Source organism: Homo sapiens, chromosome 20 (assembly GCF_000001405.40).
Source record: "Homo sapiens chromosome 20, GRCh38.p14 Primary Assembly".
NCBI classification, from domain to species: domain Eukaryota; kingdom Metazoa; phylum Chordata; class Mammalia; order Primates; family Hominidae; genus Homo; species Homo sapiens.
The window spans coordinates 34,587,031-34,610,602 of NC_000020.11; the positions used below are offsets into that span (position 1 = coordinate 34,587,031).

At 40.8% G+C, this 23,572-nt stretch overlaps 1 protein-coding gene across 3 annotated transcripts in view; it reads right to left on the reverse strand.

Annotated features, from left to right (window-relative positions):
• PIGU (phosphatidylinositol glycan anchor biosynthesis class U) overlaps window positions 1-23,572 on the reverse strand; it is a 116,551-nt gene that overhangs the window by 26,489 nt on the left and 66,490 nt on the right. For 2 of the 3 annotated variants that reach the window (XM_017027664.2, NM_080476.5), the window contains exon 8: window positions 1,423-1,577. In XM_017027664.2, coding sequence (XP_016883153.1) covers window positions 1,423-1,577 — 155 coding nt within the window. Of the gene's footprint in view, window positions 1-1,422; window positions 1,578-16,099; window positions 16,218-23,572 lie in introns of those variants that run through there. The other variant, XM_011528542.2, reaches the window with a different exon arrangement.

Sequence of the window (23,572 nt, forward strand, 5' to 3'; positions counted from 1 at the left end):
AATGGGTTAATCCCACCATATCAAAGGTGTGTTTCAGAGTACAGGTTCTCAAAGTGTGTTCCCTAAACCAGCAGGCCAACAGCACTGGCATCACCTGGAAACCGGAGAAATGCAAATTGTTGATCCCTCCCCAAGACCTACTTAATCAGAACCTCTGAGGGTGGGCCCAGCAATCTGGGTTTTAATAAGTCCTGCAGGTGATTCTGATGCACCTTAAGGTTTGAGAACCGCTGCTATTTAATATAAAGGCTTCCTGTGGTCCCTCACCCTCTGAGTCCAGCTAGAGCTATGAAAACCAAATTAGCTTCCAGAGTTTTGTCGGGGGGGTTTTAACTGACAACATATAGTTGTACGAATTTATGGGTGATTTTATGTGATGTTATGATTTCTGAATACTATGTAGAATAATTAAATCTAGCTAGTTAACATTTCCATCACTTCAAATATTAAACATTGTTTGTGGTGGGAACGATTGAAATTTACTCTCTTAGCAATTTTGGTATATACAATACTCTATTATTAACTATATTCACCACACTGTGCTAGTACTCAAGAAAAGAAAAGAAAAAAACATATTCCTCCTGAGATTTTGTACCCCTTTGACCATTATCTCCCCATTCTCCCACCCTGCCGGCATCGGTAACCACCCTTCTACTCTCTGCTTCTATGAGCGTAATTGTTTTAGAGTCCACATATAAGTGAGAACACATGCGGTATTTGTCTTTCTGTGCCTAGCTCATTCCACTTAGCATCAGATTCTCCAATTCCATCCCTACTACTGTCATAAATGACAGAATTTCCTTTTTTAAGACTGAATAGTATTCCCCTGTGTATATATACCAAATTTTCTTTATCCATTTGTTTGTTGATGGACATTTAGATTGATTCCATAACTTGGCTATTATGAATAATGCTGCAATGAACATGGGAGTGCAGACAAATCTTCAACAAACTGATTTCAAAAATTTTGAGTCACCTGCAATCCCAGCACTTTGGGAGGCCAAGGCAGATGGATCATTGAGACCAGCCTGGCTAACATGGTGAAACCCTGTCTCTACTAAAAATACAAAAATTAGCCGGGCGTGGTGGTGCATGCCTGTAGTCCCAGCTACTCGGGGGGCTGAGGCAGGGGAATCACTTGAAACCAGGAGGTGGAGGGTGCAGTGAGCGGAGATGGCCCCACTGCACTCCAGACTGGGCAACAGAGCGACACCCTGTCTCAAAAAAAAAAGAAAAAAATCCTTTAAGTAAGTAGCCGGAAGTGGGATTGCTGGATCAAATGGTAATTCTATTTTTAGTTGTTTGAGGAATGTTCATACAGTTTTCCATAATGGCTGTACTAATTTACATTCTTGACAACAGTATACAAGGGTTCCCTTTTCCCCACAGCTTCTAGAATTTTCTAACGTGGTCATTACTTACATAAAGCCATAGACTGCGGGGATGAAATCCCAAGAGCTGAGAAGGAAGAAGGAGAGGCAAATGATTACCACTAGGCTTCCCACATACATCATGGCATACTCCCAAGAAAAGATCCAGAAGGCTTTGCTCTTCATTTTCACAGGTATGTACTGCCGCTGGAGAGAAGGCAAAGTGATATAAACTTAGGGATGTAAACAACAGAGGGCAGCTATTAGCTTACACTTAAAGATCCCTCCCGCAAAACCATACTATGATACACAGGTTTATAATTTTGCTTTGGTCTTTAATTAACTAAGAAGGATGTAAGTGTTAAAAAGGTATTACGGGTGCATCCTCTGACCTCAGACCTAGTAACACCATTTCTAGGTATGTATCCTGGAGACAAGTTGCAGAAGATACAAATGGAGGAAGATTCATTGCACCATTGTTTGGAATATCAAGAAAAAATCCTTCAATAGAGGAACAAATAAATTGTGGTATATTGACATATGGTATACTATTTGCCAGGTTAAATGAATATATTGTATCTATAAATGTCAACATGGCTAGATCTAAAAAATATGAGGTTAGTTATAATAGAAAATTGCTAAACAAGCCTATTATATGAAAATACTTATGTGTTCTGAGATTATACCAAATAATACTATTATTTACACACACACACACACACACACACACACACACACACACACACACATCTGTAAGTTTCATAAAACATAGATTAGAAGGACATATACTAAAGTTATGATAGTATTAGCCTCCTGGGAACCAGAGAGGAAAATATAATTGGAACCTAAGAAACTTCATATAACCTGGCATTCATATGCAAAATGAAAAGAAATAAACAAGTAAAAAAAGACTTTAAAAAAACGCCAAATTTGGGTTAAAAAAACTTCAACTTTATCTGCTTTCCTTTGTTTGAGACAGAGTCTTGCTGTGTCGCCAAGGTAGAGTGCAGTGGCACGATCTCGGCTCACTGCAACCTCTGCCTCCAGGTTCAAGCAATTCTCCTGCCTCAGCCTCCCAAGTAGCTGGGACTGCAGGTGCGCACCACCACACCCAGTTAATTTTTGTATTTTTAGTAGAGACGGGGTTTCACCATGTTGGCCAGGATGGTCTCCATCTCTTGACCTCGTGAATCACCCACCTTGGCCTCCCAAAGTGCTGGGATTATAGGCGTGAGCCACTGCACCTGGCTTTTTTTTTTTTTTTTTTTTTTTTTGAAACAGAGTTTCGCTCGTTGCCCTGGCTGGAGTGCTACGGCGTGATCTCGGCTCACTGCAACCTCCACCTCCCGGGTTCAAGGGATTCTCCTGCCTCACCCTCCTGAGTAGCTGGGACTACAGGTGCCTGCCACCACGCCCAGCTAATTTTTATATTTTCAGTAGAGACAGGGTTTCACCATGTTGGCCAGGCTGGTCTCAAACTCCCGACCTCAGGTGATCTACCCGCCTTGGCCTCCCAAAGTATTGGGATTACAGGCATGAGCCACTGCGCCTGGCCTCACATATTTTATTAAGTATGACAACAGCAATTATGAAACAATATAGCAAAAATCTTAATATCTGTTTAGTTTGGGCAGTAGACATATGGCTATCATTATACATTTTCTAAATTTTTCCTCTCTTAAAAATGTTTTCCTCAAAAAAAAAAAAAGATGCTGGGGGAAGAGAAATAATTTATTGTTGTAAGAAAAAGGAAAATAAGAATTACCAGAAAACAAAAAAACCACCCCAGTATGTGAGAAAACAGAAATGAGTTTAAACAAATCACAATCAATTCAAATGAACAAAACTGTATAACTAAAAATCATGTTGTCAGGGACTGGGCATGGTGGCTCATACCTGTAATCCCAGCACTTTGGGAGGCCGAGGCGGGAACATCACCTGAGGCCAGGAGTTCAAAACCAGCCTGGCTAACATAGCAAAACCCCATCTCTAATGAAAATACAAAAATTAGCTGGGTGTGGTGGTGTCCGCCTGTAGTCCCAGCTACTCAGGAGACTAAGGCATGAGAATCACTTGAACCCAGGATGCAGAGGCTGTAGTGAGCCGAGATTGCACCACGGCTGCACTCCAGCCTGGGCAACAGAGCGAGACTCTGTCTCAAATAAAATAGCGTAACGTAACATAACATAACATAACATAACATAACATAACATAACATAACATAACATAACATAACACAACAACAAAATAAAATAACATAAATCATGTTGTTAGGAAAAAAATCAGTTATGCAGCTACATGCTATTTACAAGAGATATACCTTAAAATATAAGACACAGAGGCCGGGCGCGGTAGCTCATGCCTGTAATCCCAGCACTTTGGGAGGCTGAGGCAAGCGGATCATGAGGTCAGGAGATCGAGACCATCCTGGCTAACATGGTGAAACCCCGTCTCTACTAAAAATACAAAAATTAGCCAGGTGTGGTGGCAGGTGCCTGTAGTCCCAGCTACTCAGGAGGCTGAGGCAGGAGAATGGCGTGAACCCAGGAGGCAGAGCTTGCAGTGAGCCGAGATTGCACCACTGCACTCCAGCCTGGGCGACAGAGCGAGACTCCGTCTCGAAAAAAAGAGAAAAAAAAATATATATATATATGAGACACAGAAAAGCTGAAAATCAAAGGACTTTTTCAGATTGCCATGGAAACATTAAGCAAAAGAAAGCTAGTGTGGTTATACTATTATCAGATAAAATAGACTTTTATGTAAAAAAGTATTGCAGAGATAAAAATAGTCCAATAATGATAAAAGGCTCCATTCATTGGAAAAATATAACAGTTCTAAATTTGAATGTAACTAATAACAGTCTCAAAATATATAAAACAAAAGTGGATTAAGCTACAAAGGAAAAATAGACAAATCCATCATCAATGCATAATTGATAGATCAAGCAGACAAATTAGTAATCAAATAGAAAAAATGAAGCACATTTCACAAGTTTAATCTCATAAGATCTTACAAATCATACTTATATAGAGCAGGGCACCTAATAACTAAGTAATTCACATTCATTTCAAGCATTTTGGGGGTATTTACAAAAACATCACATACTTAAATCAGTCCATAAACCCACATTGACTTCAAGGAATCTTTATCATACAGACTTCAATCTCTGACGATAATGGAATTAATAGAAATTATTAATGAAAAGATAACGTAAAATAAATTAGAAAAAAACTTGCTGACCTCACATATGTATCACTTATTTGTTGTGAGAACACTTAACATCTATTTTCTTAGTAATTTTCAAGTATACAATATATTATTAACTATAGTCATGTTGCATAATAAATCTCTTGAATTGTATTATAAAAAATTAAAACACTTTTCCAAATAACCTAGGAGTCAAAGAGAAATGATGTCAGAAAATACCTCATATTACTATTTGTGTAATGTAGATAAAACAATACTCTGAGGGAAAAGTACAGCCTTAGAAATTTACTTTGGTAGGCCGGCGTGTTGGCTCACGCCTGTAATCCCAGCACTCTGGGAGGCCGAAGCGGGTGGATCGCGAGGTCAGGGGATCAAAACCATCCTGGCTAACGTGGTGAAACTCTGACTCAACTAAAAATACAAAAAAATTAGCCGGGCGTGGTGGTTGGGCGCCTGTAGTCCCAGCTACTCGGGAGGCTGAGGCAGGAGAATGGCGTGAACCTGGGAGGTGGAGCTTGCAGTGAGCCGAGATCACGCCACTGCACTCGAGCCTGGGTGACACAGCAAGACTCCGTCTCAAAAAAAAAAAAAAGAAATATTAAAGAAAGTTACTTTGGAATAGAAGAAAAATTGAAAATAAATAAGCTAAACACCCATTTTAAGATATTAGAAAAAACAGAATAAACCCCAAAAGAAGGAAGAAAATAATAAAGAACAGAATTTGTTAAAACAGAAAATAAAGGTACAATATAAGGAATCAACAAAACCAAATCTAGTTCTTAGAAATGACTCATGTTATTGATGGCTTTCTAATAAGAATAATTAAGAAAAAAAAAAAAAAGAGAGACGAACAAATAAACAACATTAGAAATGTAAAAGAGAGCATAACTATAGATGTATCAGGGAGGAGAAAATATTTTAAAACTTATGCCAATGTATTTTAAAAAAGGTGAAATGGAAACATTCTATGAAAAATATAAATAATTTAAATGATTAAAAATGCCTGTGTAACTAAAAAGAAGTGGAGATCAAAGGACATGACAATGAAATGTAATACATCCTGAACCCCATCCCTTCCCCCAAATCCTATAAAGGTCACATATAAATTGGGGAGTTTGAATTTGGAGAGAATATATTGGATAATGTTATTCTATCAAGGTTAAATTTCTAGGGGTGATAACAGTATCATGGTTATATAAAGAATGCCTAGTTCTTAAGAGTTACCTGCTGAATTAGGGTTGATGTGTCTTGTCTGTAACTTCCAAGCAAGTAATTCAAGGGAAAAAAGAAAAATCAACATATTTACATAGATATACATAATATGGCAAAATGATAACTGAAGAATCTTTAAAAAGGTATTTATAATATTATAGTACTAAATTTTTCTGAAATAATGAAATAAAAAATTAGAGAAAAAATTAATTCACAAGAAAATAGAAAATTGGCCCAGGTGTGATGGCTCATGTCTGTAATCCCAGCACTTTGGGAACCAGAGGAGGGTGGATCACTTGAGCTCAGGAGTTCAAGACCAGCCTGAGCAACATGGCGAAACCCCATCTCTACAACAAATACAAAAATTAGTAGGGCATGGTGGCACATGTCTGTAGTCCCAGCTACTCCAGAGGCTGAAGTGGGAGGATAGCTTGAACCCAGGAAGGGAAGTGAAGGTTGCAGCCAATATCGTGCCACTGCACTCTAGCCTGGGCAACAGAGCGAGACTCTGTCTTAAAGAAAAAAAAAAAAAAGCCACCAAGCCACTTTACGTAGATAAAAAGTTCATATGGAAAAACAAACATGCAAGAATAGCTAAGAAAACACTGATTAAAAAAATCATGAAGGGGGACTAGCCTTATCAGACACTGAAATATAAAACCTCTATAATTAAAGCAGCGCAATATTGGCTCGTTAATAGAGAAGTAGACTAGTAGAATAAAACAGAAAGTCCAGCACTAGACCAAAATACATATGGCAATTTAGTATATGACAGTGGTGGCATATCACTATGATAAAAATTGACTTTTTAATCAATGATGCTAGGACAACAAGGTAACCATTTGGAAAAGGTTGAATTAGACCTATCTCTCACACCATTCACAAGAATAAACTCCAAATAGCTTAGGGATCCAAATATATTTTTTAAATGAAATGATAAAGCACTGTACTAGAAAAAAACATGGTGAACTTGTCTTTAACTTTGATGTAGAAAAAAGCTCAACTGTGATTGTGCCACTGCACTCCAGCCTGGGGGACTGAGCAAGAGACCCTGCCTCAAACAAACAAAAAACACCAGGCATGGTGGCTCATGCCTGTTATCCCAGCACTTTGGGAGGCTGAGGCAGGTGGATCACTTGAGTCCAGGAGTTCAAGACCAGCCTGGGCAACATAGAGAAACCCTATCTCAACAAAAAATACAAAAATTAGCCCTATGTGGTGGTGCACACCTATAGTCCCAGCTATCAGGGAGGCTGAAGTGAGAGGATCACTTGAGCCCAGGAGGTTGAGGCTTCAGTGAGCTGTGATCGTGCCACTGCACTCCAGCCTGGGCTGCAGAGTGAGACCCTGTCTCAAAAAATCAATACAAAACAAAACTACATACATACTTCAATAATTCCACTTTCTAGAAATCTATCTTGAAGATATACCTCCAACAATATGAAAATAAGTATATACAAGGTTACTCGCTGAAACATTACTTGTAATTGCAAAATATTGTAAGCAATCTAAATTCCCACACACTGGAGAGCGGCTGAATAAACTATGGTATATTCACACAATGGCGTACTACACAGCCTTAAAAAAGAATGAGGACAATCTCTATTCTATCTATACTGATATGGAGGAATTTCCAGGAAATAATGTTAAGTGAAAAAAAGGAAAGCACAAAAGAGTATCTAAAGTATGCTACCCTTCATATAAGAAAGGCATATAAGAGGTGGGCAAATCACCTGAGGTCAGCAGTTCGAGACCAGCCTGACCAACATGGTGAAACCCCATCTCTACTAAAAATACAAAACTTAACTGGGCGTGGTGGCAGGCGCCTGTAATCCCAGCTACTCGGGAGGCTGGGGCAGGAGAATCACTTGAACCCGAGAGGTGGAGGTTGCAGTGAGCCAAGATCGTGCTATTGCACTCCAGCTTGGGTGACAAGAGCCAAACTCTGTCGCTAAATAAATAAAGGCATACAAGAAAATATACATATAGGCTGGGCGCAGTGGCTCACGCCTGTAATCCCAGCACTTTGGGAGGCTGAGGCAAGCGGATCACGAGGTCAGGAGATCAAGACCATCCTGGCTAACACGGTGAAACCCCGTCTCTACTAAAAATACAAAAAATTAGCCGGGCATGGTGGGGGGCGCCTGTAGTCCTAGCTACTCGGGAGGCCGAGGCAGGAGAATGGCATGAACCCAGGAGGCGGACGGAGCTTGCAGTGAGCCGAGATCGCGCCACTGCACTCCAGCCTGGGAAACAGAGCAAGACTCCGTCTCAAAAAAAAAAAAAAAAAAAAAAAGAAAAGAAAATATACATATATACATGTATCTATTCACTGGTGTGTGAAAGGAATACAGGAAAGATAAGCCAGAAACTAAAGAGAAGACAGCCCTCCATATCCATGGGTTCCACATCTATGGATTCAATCAACTAAGGATAGGAAATATTCCAAAAAAAATTGTGTCTGTACTGAACATGTAGAGATGTTTTTCTTTCATTATTCCCTGAACAATACAGTATAAGAACTATTTACATTGTATGAAGTATTACAAGTAATCTGGAGATGACTTAAAGCATAGGAGAGGATATGCCTAGGTTATATGCAAATACTATGCCATTTTGTATTAGGGACTTGTACATCCTGAGATTTTGGTACCTGCAGGAGGTCCTGGAACCAATCCACCACAAATACCGAGGGAAGACTGTAATTACCTAGGGTGAGAGGGGAGGGACTAGAAGAACAGGATAGCAGGAATGATGACAGAGTAATACTGCTCTTTTTGTACAGCTGACTCTTAGAACCACAGTAATATTTTACATTCCCTTCACTTACCCCCTCCTCAAATAAACAATTAAAATCAACCAATATGTGGGGAGAATCCAAAATGAATATAAACCCTAACAAATGAAACTAACTATATTACAAATTAAAAACACAACCACACTGAAGGGTTACATGGCGCAAGAAAAGAACTAATCTAAGTAATTATGAAAAACAGGCCAGGCACAGTGGCTCATGCCTTAATCCCAGCACTTTGGGAGGCCAAGGTGGGTGGATCACTTGAAGTCAGGAGTTCAATACCAGCCTGGCCAACTAAAAATACAAAAATTAGCTGGGCGTGGTAGTGCTCGCCTGTAATCCAAGCTACTTGGCAGGCTGAGGCAAGAGGACTGCTTGAGCCCAGTCGGGCGATGGAGCGAGACCCTGTCTCAAAAACAAAACAAAACAAAAAAAGTTACAGTGGAGAAACCTGGCAGACACTAACGTCACCAAGTGATCAAGGTAAACATTAGCATTGAGAAGATATGGCAATATCATGAACCCCTCGGTACAGTGCACTGAGGACACAATATGCATTTTTGCCAAAAACATGTAAATTCAGTCCAGTCATGAGAAAACTATGACAATCTAAACTGAGGTACATTTCACAAAAATAACTTCACAAGTCATGAATGACAAGAGAAGACTGAAGAACTGTCTCAGACTAGGACAGACTAAGGAGATAAAACCACCAAATGCAATGTGGGACCTAAATATGATCCTGAAACAAACAAAAATAGCCTCAGTAGAAAATGCAAAATTCTAATAAGGTCTGTCGTTTAGTTAATAATGCTGCATAAATATCAATTTATTTGTTCTTGATAACTGTATATGGTTATATAAAATGTTAACATTAGCGGAAGTGGAGTGAGGGATACAAGAAACTCTGTACTATTTTTGCAACTTTTCCGTAGGTCTAAAATTAATTCAAAATAAAAAACTTTTAAAAATGGAGATAAAACCATCTGTTACATGGTTGGTTAAAAAAATAAACAAGCAATTTAAAAAATTAGAGCGTTCTACAAGGCCAGTATAAAAAAAAATCAGCCCTTTGCCTTGCCTCTAATCTTCATTAAATCAAGCTTGTTATTGTGATGTTCAAATCGTTTACATAGTTATTAAATATTTTGGCTGTTTAATCTTACTTTGAGAGATTTGTTAAAACTAATTACGATGGCTGATTTATCAATTTCTTCTAGCTGTGTCAATTGTTATTTTCTAAATTTTAAAGATATCTTATTAGTCAAATACAAGTTTGAATTCTCAAAAACAAAGCAAAATAAACAAAAGACAAGCAGAACTTCACGAAGATATACCACTAGAATTGCCAACATTAAAAAGATCGATACCATCAAATGTTAGTGAAGATGTGTGGCAACTAGACTGTCATATTTGGTTGGGGGGGTTGTAAAATGGTGCAAAAACTTTGAAAAACTGTCTAGTGGATTCTAGCAAAGCTAAACGTACACTTGCCCAATGTCCCAAAAATTCTGCTAGGTACTGCTCAAGAGAAACAAAAATGTTAAGTCCACAAAAAAACTTGTACCAGAATGTTCATAGTAGTCTATTTGTAACAGACAAAAACTGGAAATGGGCCCAAGTTTCTACCAATAGGAGAATGGGTAAACAAAACGCTGCACACACAAAAAACACCCAGCAATAAAAAAGAATACATGCAATAACATGGATAAATCTCAAAAACAAGCTGGTTGAAGGAAGCCTTATACAAAATAATCCTATTATTTCATTCCATTTATATGATGTTTTAGAATAGGCCAAACTAATCTATGGTTAAAACAATATTCAGAACAGTTGTGTCTGAGGAAATAGGAGTGGGAATTGATGGGGAAAGGACCCGAAGATACTTTCTGTATTTTGAGAGGAGTTTGGGTTACACAGGTATTTGTATTAAGATTCATGCACTTCATGGTATGTAAATTCTACCTAAAATGAAAAAGAGTGTAAATAAATAATGAACTCCAGTTGATGCTTATGCTGAATTATTTACAAGGATATGTATGACATCTGCAATTTACTTCAAAATGTATGAAAAATAAGACTGACTGATGGATAGATGGATATGTGATAAAGCAAGTATGGTAAAATATTAATGGAGGAATGTAGGTTATAGGTATATGAGTGTTCGTATTTGTTTTTTCTTTGAAATTTTTCATTACAGAATGTTGGGAAAATGTAAGATTTAATACACTGTTTAGCAAGCCATACATATGTGGTAACACTTTCAAGAAAAGCCAAAGAATGATTAACAAAAAATTCACGGTAGGCCGGGCATGGTGGCTCATGCCTGTAATCCCAGCAATATGGGAGGCTGAGGTGGTGGATCACCTGAGCCCAGGAGCTCGAGACCAGCCTGGGCAACATGATGAAACCCCATCACTATATATTTTTAAAAATATATAAATAATAACAAATTCAGGGTAGTCATAACCTCTGAGGTAGAGGGAAGGAGTGCAGTGTAGAAGGAGGACGTACAGGGCTTCTAAAGGACTAGAAATGTTACATTACTTAAGCAGGGTAGTGGAACACAGTGTTGCTTTATTATGTTTTAAACTATGCAAATATTATAAAGCACAAGGGCATTCAAGACAGATGGGACATCATGGGTATGGGACCTGAGGTGGGATGGAACTTGCCACACTGGAGGAACAGAGAAGGTCTGTGTGGTTTGAGATTTAGGAGTGAGGGGTAAGTGGTATAAGATAAGCATAGAGAGGTAGAGAACAGCCAAGTCAAGGAGGAGCTAAGCCATTTTGGTAATATACATCTCATAGGCTCTTTAACAGTTGAGAAAAATGTTTCAGGTGGTGAGTGTTAGCACCTCTTTTACAATCTTGTGACAAAGAAAGCAAGTTCCAGACCAAATTCTAGCACACCTAAAGACATCTATTAAACAGATATTCCTTAGTGAGCCAGGCCCAAAGCAGTTCACACAAACTATTCTAGAAGCTCCATGCTGTCCCAGCTCTTTCTGCCTCTAGTTATTCCAACCACCACTTATGAAAAAGGTTCACTCATAATAGAACTGACAATATCCCAGAGGCAGGGTTCTGTTGCCCTTGGAGTCACATCAGGCAACCAGAAATCCTAACCAAAGGCCAAAGGATCATTAAGGAATTACGCCTCAGGCGCCATCTCCAAGGGAAGAAGTTACAGGCCCTGCTAGATTCATATTCCTTCTTCATGCAAGCATAGGAATATTTCAGGGTCTCGCTTTGTTGCCCAGGCTGGTGCAGTGACAGGATCATAGTTCACTGCATTATTTGGGCCCTAACTCCTGGGCCCAAATAATCCTCCTACCTCAGACTCCCGAGTAGCTGGAACTACAGGCACATGCTACCATGCCTGGCTAATTTTTTCATTTTTTGCAGAGATAGGGTCTTGCTCTGTAGCTCATAAGCCACCACATCTGGCCCAATTCTGCTTTTGAATACTTCAATTTCACTAATGAGCGCCTACTTCTAATACTCATTTTGTTAATCAGTAAGACACTAATCTCACCAGTAAAAATTGGCCAGGTGCAGTGGGCCATGCCTGTAATCCCAGCACTTTGGGAGGCCAAGGTGAGTAGATCACTTGAATCCAGGAGCTTGAGACCAGCCTGGGCAACATGGCAAAACCCTGTCTCTACAAAAAATACAAAAATTAGCAAGGCATGGTGGCACGCGCCTGTAGTCCCAGCTACTCGGGAGGCTGAGACAGGAGGATTGCTTAAGCCTAGGAAGCAGAGGTTGCAGTGAGCTAAGATCGTGCCATTACGCTCCAGCCTGGGCAACAGAGACCCCCGTCTCAAAAAAACAAAAAAATCCAAGCTGTTTCTGACAGTCACTATGCTAACTAGTAAAGGTGTTGATCAAACTATAGAGAGTGCTGCACTGATGGCAGCCCCTGGAGAGTGCACCCTTGAAGATGTAAAGCTAGGTGACATCATGGAATGTGGATGCTTCATTAATGTAATTCACATTCCCCTGAAGTTGAGGCTGAAACTAACTGGCAAATATATACTATCAGATGGTCTATGAAGAAGTATTTTTAAATAAATTACAGACATCATAACTCCATGATAAAGACTTTAAGGATGATGGAAGTCAGCGAAGAGTTTTAAGCTGGAGACAGCATTACTGTTAATAGATCTTAGGTGAGAGGAATCTGACCAACGTTATGGCCCCCCCTGTAAGCTTTACACACATAGCTCTACTCTGACTTCTCCTTGCAACTGTACTGTCCCCTAGCCATATGTGGCTATTCTAATATAAAGTATAACTTAACTAAAACTAAAACTTCAGTTCCTCAGTCCCACTAGCAAATTTCAAGTGCCTGATGGCCACATGTGGCTTGTGTCTTCTGCACTGACAATACAGACACAGAACATTTCCATGGTCACAAAAAGTTCTACTGATACCGCTGATCTAGAAGAATAAAGTTTCAAGAGAATGATAAATTTCTGGGGATGGAAAATAATTCAAGGCCAGGCATGGTGGCTCAGGCCTGTAATTCCAGCACTTTGGGAGGCCGAGGCGGGCGGGTCACTTGAGGTCAGAAGTTCGAGACCAACCTAGCCAACATGGCGAAACCCTGTCTCTACTAAAAATACAAAAATTAGCTGGACTTGGTGGTGGGCATCTGTAATCCCAGCTACTCGGGAGGCTGAGGCAGGAGAGATGCTTGAACCTGGGAGGCGGAGGTTGCAGTGAGCCGAGATCATGCCATTGCACTCCAGCCTGGGCGACAGAGAAAAAAGAGAAGAGAAGAGAAGAGAGAAAAGAAAAGAAAAAAGAGAAAAGAGAAGAAAAGAATTCAACAAAGAGAAGGCATCCATAGATAAATTCAATGAAGAAAGTATTTAGGTTCTGAGTTAATTCCTTGATCATCTTGATCTTCCTCCTGAAAAAGACTGCCATTTAGCAAAGAAGGGAGGAAGAAAAAAAAGAGGAAGAAAACAGCCCAGGAGAGAAAAAAAAAATACCCTCTAAAGTAAAAATATTGTTTTGTCTTCCCATTCCACCCTACTGATATTTAAAAAGAAGTATGCCAGGGAATAAAACAACAAGGCCATGAAAAACTGAATCAAGTAGGCTGTTAAAAGCAGTTATTGGCCGGGCACGGTGGCTCACACCTATAATCCCAGCACTTTGGGAGGCTGAGGCAGGTAGATCACCTGAGGTTGGGAGTTCGAGACCAGCCTGACAAACATGGAGAAACCCCGTCTCTACTAAAAATACAAAATTAGCCAGACGTGGTGGCACATGCCTGTAATCCCAGCTATTCGGGAGGCTAAGGCAGGAAAATTGCTTGAACCCAGGAGGTGGAGGTTGCAGTGAGCCGAGATGGTGCCATTGCACTCCAGCCTGGGCAAAAAGAACGAAACTCTGTCTCAAAAAAGAAAAAAAAAAAAAGCAGTTCTCTTAGGCAAGTCCTGAACACACACTCAGGAAATGAGGTTTCACTCTTTGCAAATCCCATTAGTGGCCCCCAAGTTTCTGTTTGCTACCATTTTTCTCAGTGTTTTATTCGACCTAAAGTGCTCTCAGTGTTAGACTGGAAAATGATTTTTTTTCTTGGCAAACTTGTGGTTACAAGATGTGCAATAAATTTTAAGTATAATTCTGTTTTGAAGACATGGTTTTGGAGTCAAGGTTTGCTTGGGGAACAGGGCCCTAAAACGATAAAGTAATTTGAAGTATGTACTGCATCTATTTATAAAAACTGAACTTGCACTTAATCTTGCAGGACTATTCCAGTTACACAGTGAGGCACATCTAAAATTCCTAAAAAAGAAACTCCAGCAATCCCCTGATGGCTTGTTGTTTATAAACACTAGAGCCAAACTTAATCTCGAGGTTGTAAAAGTTGATTATATAAATTGGGTCATTCTTGTCATGTCCAACGAAATCAGGGCCAGGGGAAAGAACACCCAGGGCATACAGCACCTGCTCCAAGAATTAGATTTTCCACAAGCCCAGCTGCTGAAACGACCTGCTGTGACTCTAAGACTACTTTAACCTACCACTGTCTCACCAATCAGAGATTCCCAGCTCCCAAAAACTTGACTTGTGTCAATGAGCTTTCTTTCAAAGCAATACATACTATTTCTTTTTCTAATAAAACTCCTAACCTTCTGTTTGTTCTTTGGACATACCAAAGACCACCCAGTCTGTGTGTATAACTCAAATTGCAATTCTTGCTTCCCAAATAAAACATTAGAGATTTGTCTCTATATTTTATTTGACTTCAACAAGGTTCACACTGCAAATTTCCCAGTGAACAGGTGAGATTTCATCTTACCTCTTTTGCTCCACAGCAAACGCTGACTTAAAACGTGTATGTAAAATGTATGTATGGGCTGGGTATGGTGGCTCACACCTGTAATCCCAAAACTTTGGAAGGCCAAGGCGGGCAGATCACCTGAGGTCAGGAGTTTAAGACCAGCCTGGACAACATGGTGAAAACCCGTCTCCATTAAAAATACAAAAATTAGCCAGGTGTGGTGGTAGGTGCCTGTAATCCCAGCTACTTGGGAGGCTCAGGTGGGAGAATTGCTTGAACCCGGGAGGCAGAGGTTGCAGTGAGCCGAGACTGCGCCAGTGCACTCCAGCCTGGGCAACAGAGCAAGACTCCATCATAAAATGAAATGAAATAAAATAAAATATATGTATGGCTGGGTGCGGTGGCTCACATCTGTAATCCTAGCACTTTGGGAGGCCGAGGTGGGCGGATGACTTGAGGTCAGGAGTTCAAGAACAGCCTGGCCAACATAGTGAATCCCTGTCTCTACTAAAAATACAAAAGTTAGCCAGGCGTGGTGGTGGGTGCCTGTAATCCCAGCTACTTGGGAGGCTGAGGCAGGAAAATCGCTTTAACCTGGGAGGTGGAGGTTGCAGTGAGCTGAGATTGTGCCACAGCACTCCAGCCTGGGCGACACAGCAAGACTCCATCTTAAAAAACAAACAAAAAAATAAAATGTATGTATGTATGTAAGTAGAAGGGTTACAAGAATGATGCCCTAAAAACTCTATCAATTTTTTAAACCATTTTATTACAAACACAAAATGCAGGAAATTACATAGAATATAAAGCTTAATGAATGATTGTAAGGTGAACATCCTTATAACCACTACCAAGGTCGAGAGAAAGAACTTTCCAGGCATTCCCCAAGTTCCTCCATGTTCCCTGATCCAACCACAATCCCCTCCTCCCTCCAAAGTAATCACTACCCTGGCTTTGGTAATAATCACTTCCTTGCATTTCTTTATGGTTTTCCACTTACATGTGCATCCCTTTCTATAGTTTAGGTCTTGCCTATTTTTAAAATTTTTGATACAATTTTTAAGTCTCTTAATTCATAATTCCTCCACTCCAGCCTACTCCTGCCCATATCTTTTTTTTTTTTCTTGTTACAATTCATATGTTACAGAATCTGGGACATTTAACCCATATAACATCCCATAATCTGGATTTTCTAATTATGTACCTTGTTTTCAGTATTTCTTGCAAATTGCAGCTATATCCAGAGGCTTGATCAATTTTGGATTTTATCCTTTTGGCAAACTTTGGTGGTGGGTAATGTTCTTTTGTCAGGAGGCTTGGTTTTTGTTTCTGATGTCAGCAGTTATTGATGCTCAGTACCTAGACCATAAGGGGTTGTAAAATGATGCTATCCTATCATTTTGTTTTCATTTGTAAGTTGAAATAATTTTATAAAGATATATTTCTGTCACCTACTATATGGTTATCTAGTGGTACAGGAAAGGCAGGACAAATACTTATTTTTTTCCTTTATCCAGTTTTCAATACAATGAACTGATTTCTTATCAATTCTCCTAATTTAGCCAAGTAGGTTTCCTTTTTAGTAACATTATGAGTGCCTGGATTTAAATATATTTATGAGTTTTAATCTATTGCAATTCTTACCTTACTGAAACTCAAATTATCCCTCTTTGGTCAGTGGGAGCCTCTTCAAGTTAGATCCTAAGTCCTTTCAAGATGACTCCAGTAGACTTTGATAAACTTTCATGTTATCTGTTATCACAACATTCTAGGATCATCCTATACATTTCCTGCCCTAAAACCTAGAATTAGCCATTTCCCTAAGAAACCCCAGTTTCTCTAAATGGGTAAATGGTATTTCAAGATCATAATTTGGGCACTAAGAATGTTCATTCATACTGGGTTGGTCATTGTTTCTAGACCTTTTAGTGGACAGACACACACACACACACACACACACACACCACACCCCTACAGGGGACCAGGCAGGTAACAAACAAGTGAAGGTGAGAGAAATGAAACAGGGACTGTGGCAATCTGAAGAGGGTACGCTCTGCCTAAAGGGGACAGATCTTACAATTCCTCAAAAGGAGCCAGAAATAAAAAATTTCCACATGAATTTTTAAAATGCTGACTACTAATTTCAAAAAAGTCAAACACCAGGGTCAAATGAACCACATCTGTGGGGCCAGATGTGATCCAAGGGTTATGTGCACCCTCAACCTGAAAATGTTAACTCGCAGTTACAATATTCCAGGAGTCACATTGTTGCTAATATATAAAAAATATTTAGGGAAATTAAGAATTCTCAGACTGCTTCAGAAAAACCCCAGCTACATTAAGATTATCTTCCTCTCCCCAAGTCTCTACAGCACTAGGGAGAAAAGCATTTTCTGTACAGAAACCATTTCCTTTCTCAGACACGATGTGAAAGGGAAAAAGCCAGTTATCCAAATAAACTCTTAAAGGGAGTTAACCTAACAATGTTTTTACATGTAAGTTCTTGGAATCACAAGAAGAGATCCAGGAGATATATTTTGCATGACAGATATATTAGAGGAAACAAAACTGGTAGAAAACTTTATTGAAAATGCTTGATCAAGCTCTTGCCTTCATTTTTACCCATTCCAAAAAGAAACAAAGCTAACAGCACTGCTACCTCTGCCCTAGCACACACCTGGACATAGCAGAAATAACAGAAAGTGACTGGGGAAGAAAAAATAAGGTGTGAAAACTCTAAATATGGCCCCAGAGAAGGCTTGGGGAAGGACCCGTTATCAAGAAATAACTGATTGAGTTTGGCTCCTCTGGTATAAGCTACCATCACATAACCTGACCCAAGCTCCAGAAAGGATAAAAAAAAATCACAGGATTAACGTTTTCAGTTCAAAGACAAGAAAAGGTCAGACTGGATTAAAGCAAAACCAAAAGAGTACTCACGGGGTAATTTCCCCTAGTGTCTGCTACTGTCTTTGAAAGAAAATAAAGGCCTCAAACCATCCAAGGGAATCCAAGGCTTTAGGAATCCCAAGCAAAAGGAAGATGGGAACTAGAAACTTCCCAGACTGCACCATGAGCATCTCGGTAAGCCTCGCCTGGTCTCCCTCGAAGCCTTACAGCTTCAGCTTCTCGGTCCTGTGCACTCGGCTTTCCTTCACTGGAGCCTCCTGCCCCTGAGCATGTTAGGGCTATTTTTTTCCGCATGCTATCAAATCATAACATTTTAAACCTCTCTCTAATTTGGAAACTAGGCTCTCAGCCAAGGTCAGAGAAAGAGTTGAGTTGCCGGATGGAACCAGATGGGCTCAAACTACCATTCTCATAAGTGATTCACCAGGGAGCCAGATGCAGCATCCCCTCCCTTTGATCTTGTGTCTCATGAAGGAAAGGAAGAATAGTTTCACCTCTGGCACTGATCAGACACCAGTACTCTCTAGAAATTCCACCAGCAGAATGGAGGCATGTTTATAGTGTCAAAGGAGGAAGTACAAACTAACTTTTACAGTTCCTTTGACTTCAAAAGATGAATTATTTTCTTTTCCCCTCATCGCCCCACATACTGGTGATCATGTCCTTTCATGAACATTTGAATACTAATAATCATAGCTAATATCTATCAAGCCCTCATCAGACTCTGTTCTAAACACTTGACATGTATTAACCCTTTGCAGTAGGTACTATTATATTATCCCTGTGGAAGCAGAGAAGTTAAATAGTCACTTGCTCAGGGTCACAGAGTTAATAAGTGTCCAAATGAAGACATCAGAGCCTGTACTCTATTTCCCTCTTTTTTATTATAAATTTTTTCAAACATGCAGAAAAGTTGGAAGAGTAATACAATAATTAACCATATATGTCTAGATTAAATATTAATACCTTGCCTTATTTTATCTTTCTGCATGCATATATTTATTTTTGCTGAACCATGTAAAAGTTGAACACATCATGACATTTCTCTCCAAAACACTTCTGCACACAGTTGTGCAAAATAAGGACATTCTCCTATATACCATAATACTATCATCACATCCAGGTAATCAACAATTCCCAGCCGGCGCAGTGGCTCACACCTGTAATCCCAGCACTTTGGGAGGCTGAGGCGGGCGGATCACAAGGTCAGGAGATCGAGACCATCCTGGCCAACACGGTGAAACCCCGTCTTTACTAAAAATACAAAAAATTAGCCAGGCGTGGTGGCAGGTGCCTGTAGTCCCAGCTACTTGGGAGGCTGAGGCAGGAGAATCGCTTGAACCTGAGAGGCGGAGGTTGCAGTGAGCCGAGATTGCACCACTGTACTCCAGCCTAGGCGACAGAGTGAGACTCCGTCTCAAAAAAAAAAAAAAAAAAAAAATTCCCTAACATCATCTAATATCTAATCTGTCTTCAAAATTTTCTAGTTGTCCCCCAAAACATCCTTTATAGCTGTTTTTTTCAACCCAAAATCCAATCAAGACTCTCCCATTGCATTCAGTTATTGTGTCTCTTTAGTCCAGAACGGTTTCTCCACTTTTTCTTTTTCATAACATTAACATTTTGAACAGACTCAGACCAGCTTTCTTAAAATACCATAGTACATTCTGGTTTGTCTTACTGCTTCCTTGTGGTGTCATTGAACTCGTTCCTCTGCTCTTTTATTCCCTAAAACCAAAACTCAGATCTTAAGGCTTCATTAAGGGTAACTTTTTGGGTAAGAATAGTTCAGAGTTGATAACGTGTATTTTGTACTGCCTCATGCCAAGCACTATATATATCATGTCAAGTTGTTCCACTATAAGTGATAAGAGTTGGATTACTTAGCTACAGAATATGCCTTTGTAAAGATTTTTGTTTGTTTGTTTTGTTTCGTTTGTTTTTGAGACAGTCTCTTACTCTGTCACCCAGGCTGGAGTGCACTGGTGTGATCTCAGCTCACTGCAACCTCCGTCTCCCGGGTTCAAGCAATTCTCTGCCTCAGCCTCCTGAGTAGCTGGGATTACAGGCACCCACCACCAAGCCTGGCTAATTTTTGTATTATTAGTAGAGACAGGGTTTCACCACCTTGGCCAGGCTAGTCTTGAACAACTGACCTCGTGATCCACCCGCCTCGGCCTCCCAAAGTGTTGGGATTACAGGCGTGAGCCACCATGCCCGGCCATAAATATGTATTTTTCCCTTTGCTATTAGCAAAGAATCTAGAGGGTGGGGACTAGGGAATAATGTTTTGACACAATGCAAATGCAAATACATTGTTCTCTAAAAACCATTCACCCAGTGATTTTAGCATCCATGTGATATGCACAAGAGGCAGGTAGAAAAGGGCCGTTCCTGGCGACGGCCCCACCCTCAAGCCTGGACCCCTGACCTAAAGTGAGAACTTCACATCCCTGTTGCCTTTTCCAAAACCACCCTGGCCTGGCCTGCCCCGCATCCTGTACTCATAAAAACCCCAGGCTCCACTGGCAGTGGAGTGGCAGAGAGGGAGAGAGAAGCAGCAGCCAGAAGTCAGAGGGAAGCAGCTTGATTTCAGACGGACACCTTGATGGCGGGACCTCGGAGAAGAGTTCAGCCAGGAATGACCGAACTGAGGGGAAGACCACCTTCCTGCTCCATCCCCTTTCCAGCTCTCCATCCCATTGACAGCCACTTTCATCAGCAATAAAATCCCCTGCATTTACCATCTCCAATTCATTTGTGCAACCTGATACCTCCTGGATGCCAAACAAGAGGTTGGGATACAGAGGGCTGTCATACTGAGATGTGAAATGCTTAAGCCATCAGAGGATGGCAAAGCTGAAAGAGCACAGTGTAACAAACAACTTCTGTGGCTCCAGGGATCATGAGTACCCCACTAGACATTGCTGTGGGACTGCACAGAGTTGTGCACAGAGTCTGTGCCATGGGACTGCACAGAGTTGTGCCCAGACTGGTCTTAAACTCCTGGGATCAAGTGATCCTCCTGCCTCAGCCTCCCTAAGTGCTGGGACTATAGGTGTGAGCCACTGCACCCAGCTATAATTCCTTTTTAAAAGGCAGAGTAATTGCTTAGTTCTTTCCTTTTAATTATTTACTTTCAGAGTGAGAAACTGGTAAAATAGCCACATCTGATGATGGTCTATGTATTTTTTCTCTTCTTGCCCTTTTAGTGAGCATCACTATGGAGACATGACTTTTTTTTTTTTTTTTTTTTGAGACAAGAATCTTGCACTGTGGCCCAGGCTGGAGTGCAGTGGTGCGATCTCGGCTCACTGCAACCTCTGCCTCCCAGGTTCAAGCGATTCTCGTGCCTCAGCCTCCCAAGTAGCTGGCATTACAGGCACCCACCACCATGCCTGGCTCATTTTGTATTTTCAGTAGAGAAGGAGTTTCACCATGTTGTCCAGGCTGGTCTGGAACTACTGACTTCAAGTGATCCACCTGCCTTGGCCTCCCAAAGTGCTGGGAATATAGGCGTGAGCCACCGTGCCCAGCCAAACACATGGATTTTTATCCAGTGTTTTATAATTACTTGTTGTCATTCTTTTGATGCTCAGAAATTCCCAAATTTGGGTGGTATGAGCCCCTTTCAGCTGGTACCAGTGTTTTTCTGACTTAGTCCTGTTAAGACTTTGAGGACTATTTTGCTTTTTTTTGTTGTTGTAACAAGATGTCCCAGTCAAGCTGTGCTCTTACATACTACATTAGACAACCTTTCCTAGAGGGCTATGCCTACAGAGGGCTTGAAAAAAACTCAGAGAAAAAGATAATGTCAAGAGCAGATGTGTCAGCTCCTAGAGGTTATCAAATCCATTTTGATTTGGAAGTAGAAAGCATTCTGAAGCCGATCAGGGTACAGCCACTCACTCTGGCACTTACAGCTTTGCTACAACTCCCCAGCAAGTGGCCATTCAGCCTCTGGCCTAAACACCATGATTCACAGGGAACTGACCTCACTTAGGACATCTCATTCTGTCACAGAACTACCTTATACTAAGCTTCTTGTACCACCTAACCATTAGTTCTAGCTTCTCTCCTTGGAGCCTATGGATCCCTGTGAAACTCAACTCTAAAGGGTCCACTTAGTAGTCTGGCAGAAACTCAGCCCTAAAGAATAATTTTAGGCTGGTTGTGGTGGCTCAGCCTAATCCCAGCACTTTGGGAGGCTGAGGCGGGAGGATTGCTGTAGCTCAAGAATTCAAGACCAGCCCGGGCAACAAAGTGAGACCCTGTCTCTAAAAAAAAACCAACCAACCAACCAAACAAACAAAAAACAAAAAACAAGCCAGCCATGGTGGCACATGACTGTAGTCCCAGCTACTCAGTAGGCTGAGGCAGGGGGACTGCTTGAACCCAGGAGGTCTAGGCTGCAGTGAGCCATGTTCACAGCACTGCACTCCAACCTAGTTGACAGAGTAAGACCCTGTTACAAAACAAAAAAGAATATTTCCTCTTCTGTTTCCACCTTCACTTTTTTTCACCTTTTTTGTTTTTTTTTTGTTTTTGAGATAGAGTCTCACTCTGTCACCCAGGCTTGAGTGCAGTGGCGCAATCTCGGCTCACTGCAACCTCCACCTTCCGCGTTCAAGCAATTCTCTTGCCTCAGCCTCCTGAGTAGCTAGGACTGCAGGCACATGTCACCATGCCTAGCTAATTTTTGTACTTTTAGTAGAGACGCGGTTTCACTATGTTGGCCAGGCTTGTCTCGAACTCCTAACCTCAGGTGATCCACCCACCTTGGCCTCCCAAAGTGCTGGGATTACAGACATGAGCCATTACACCTGGCTCCTCCTTCATATTTAAACAGATGGTTTTGTTTCCTGGATGTGACTACACTGATCTTCAAATACCCTACCATGACCCACAAGGCCCAGGTGATATAATTTGGCTGTGTCCCCATTCAAATCTCATCTTGAATTGTTGTTCCCATAATCCCCTCATGTCATGAGAGGGACCCGGTGGGAGGTAATTGAATCATGGGGATGGTTACCCCCAATGCTGCTGTTCTCCTGATAGTGAGTGAGTTCTCACAGGATCTGATGGTTTTATAAGGGTCTTTTCCCTCTTTGCTTGGCACCTCTCCTTCCTGCCATCATGTGAAGGTGGACGTGTTTGCTTCCCCTTCGGCTATATTTGTAAGTTTCCTGAGGCCTCCCCAGCCATGTGGAACTGTGAGTCAATTAAACCTCTTTCCTTTGTAAATTACCAAGTCTCAATATCATACTGAATGGACAAAAGCTGGAAGCATTCCCTTTGAAAACTGGCACAAGACAAGGATGCCCTCTCTTACCACTCCTATTCAACATAGTATTAGAAGTTCTGGCCAGAGCAATCAGGCAAGAGAAAGAAATAAAGCGTATTCAAATAGGAAAAGAGGAAGTCAAATTGTCTCTGTTTGCAGATGACATGAGTGTATATTTAGAAAACCCCACCGTCTCAGCCCAAAAACTCCTTAAGCTCATAAACAACTTCAACAAAGTCTCAGGATACAAAATCAATGTGCAAAAATCACAAGCATTCCTATATACCAATTATAGACAAGCAAAGCGCCAAATCATGAGTGAACGCCCATTCACAATTGCTACAATGAGAATAAAATATCTAAGAATACAACTTACAAGGGATGTGAAGGACCTCTTCAAGGAGGACTGCAAACCACTGCTCAAGGAAATAAGAGAGGACACAAACAAATGGAAAAAAATTCCTTGTTCATGGATAGGAAGAA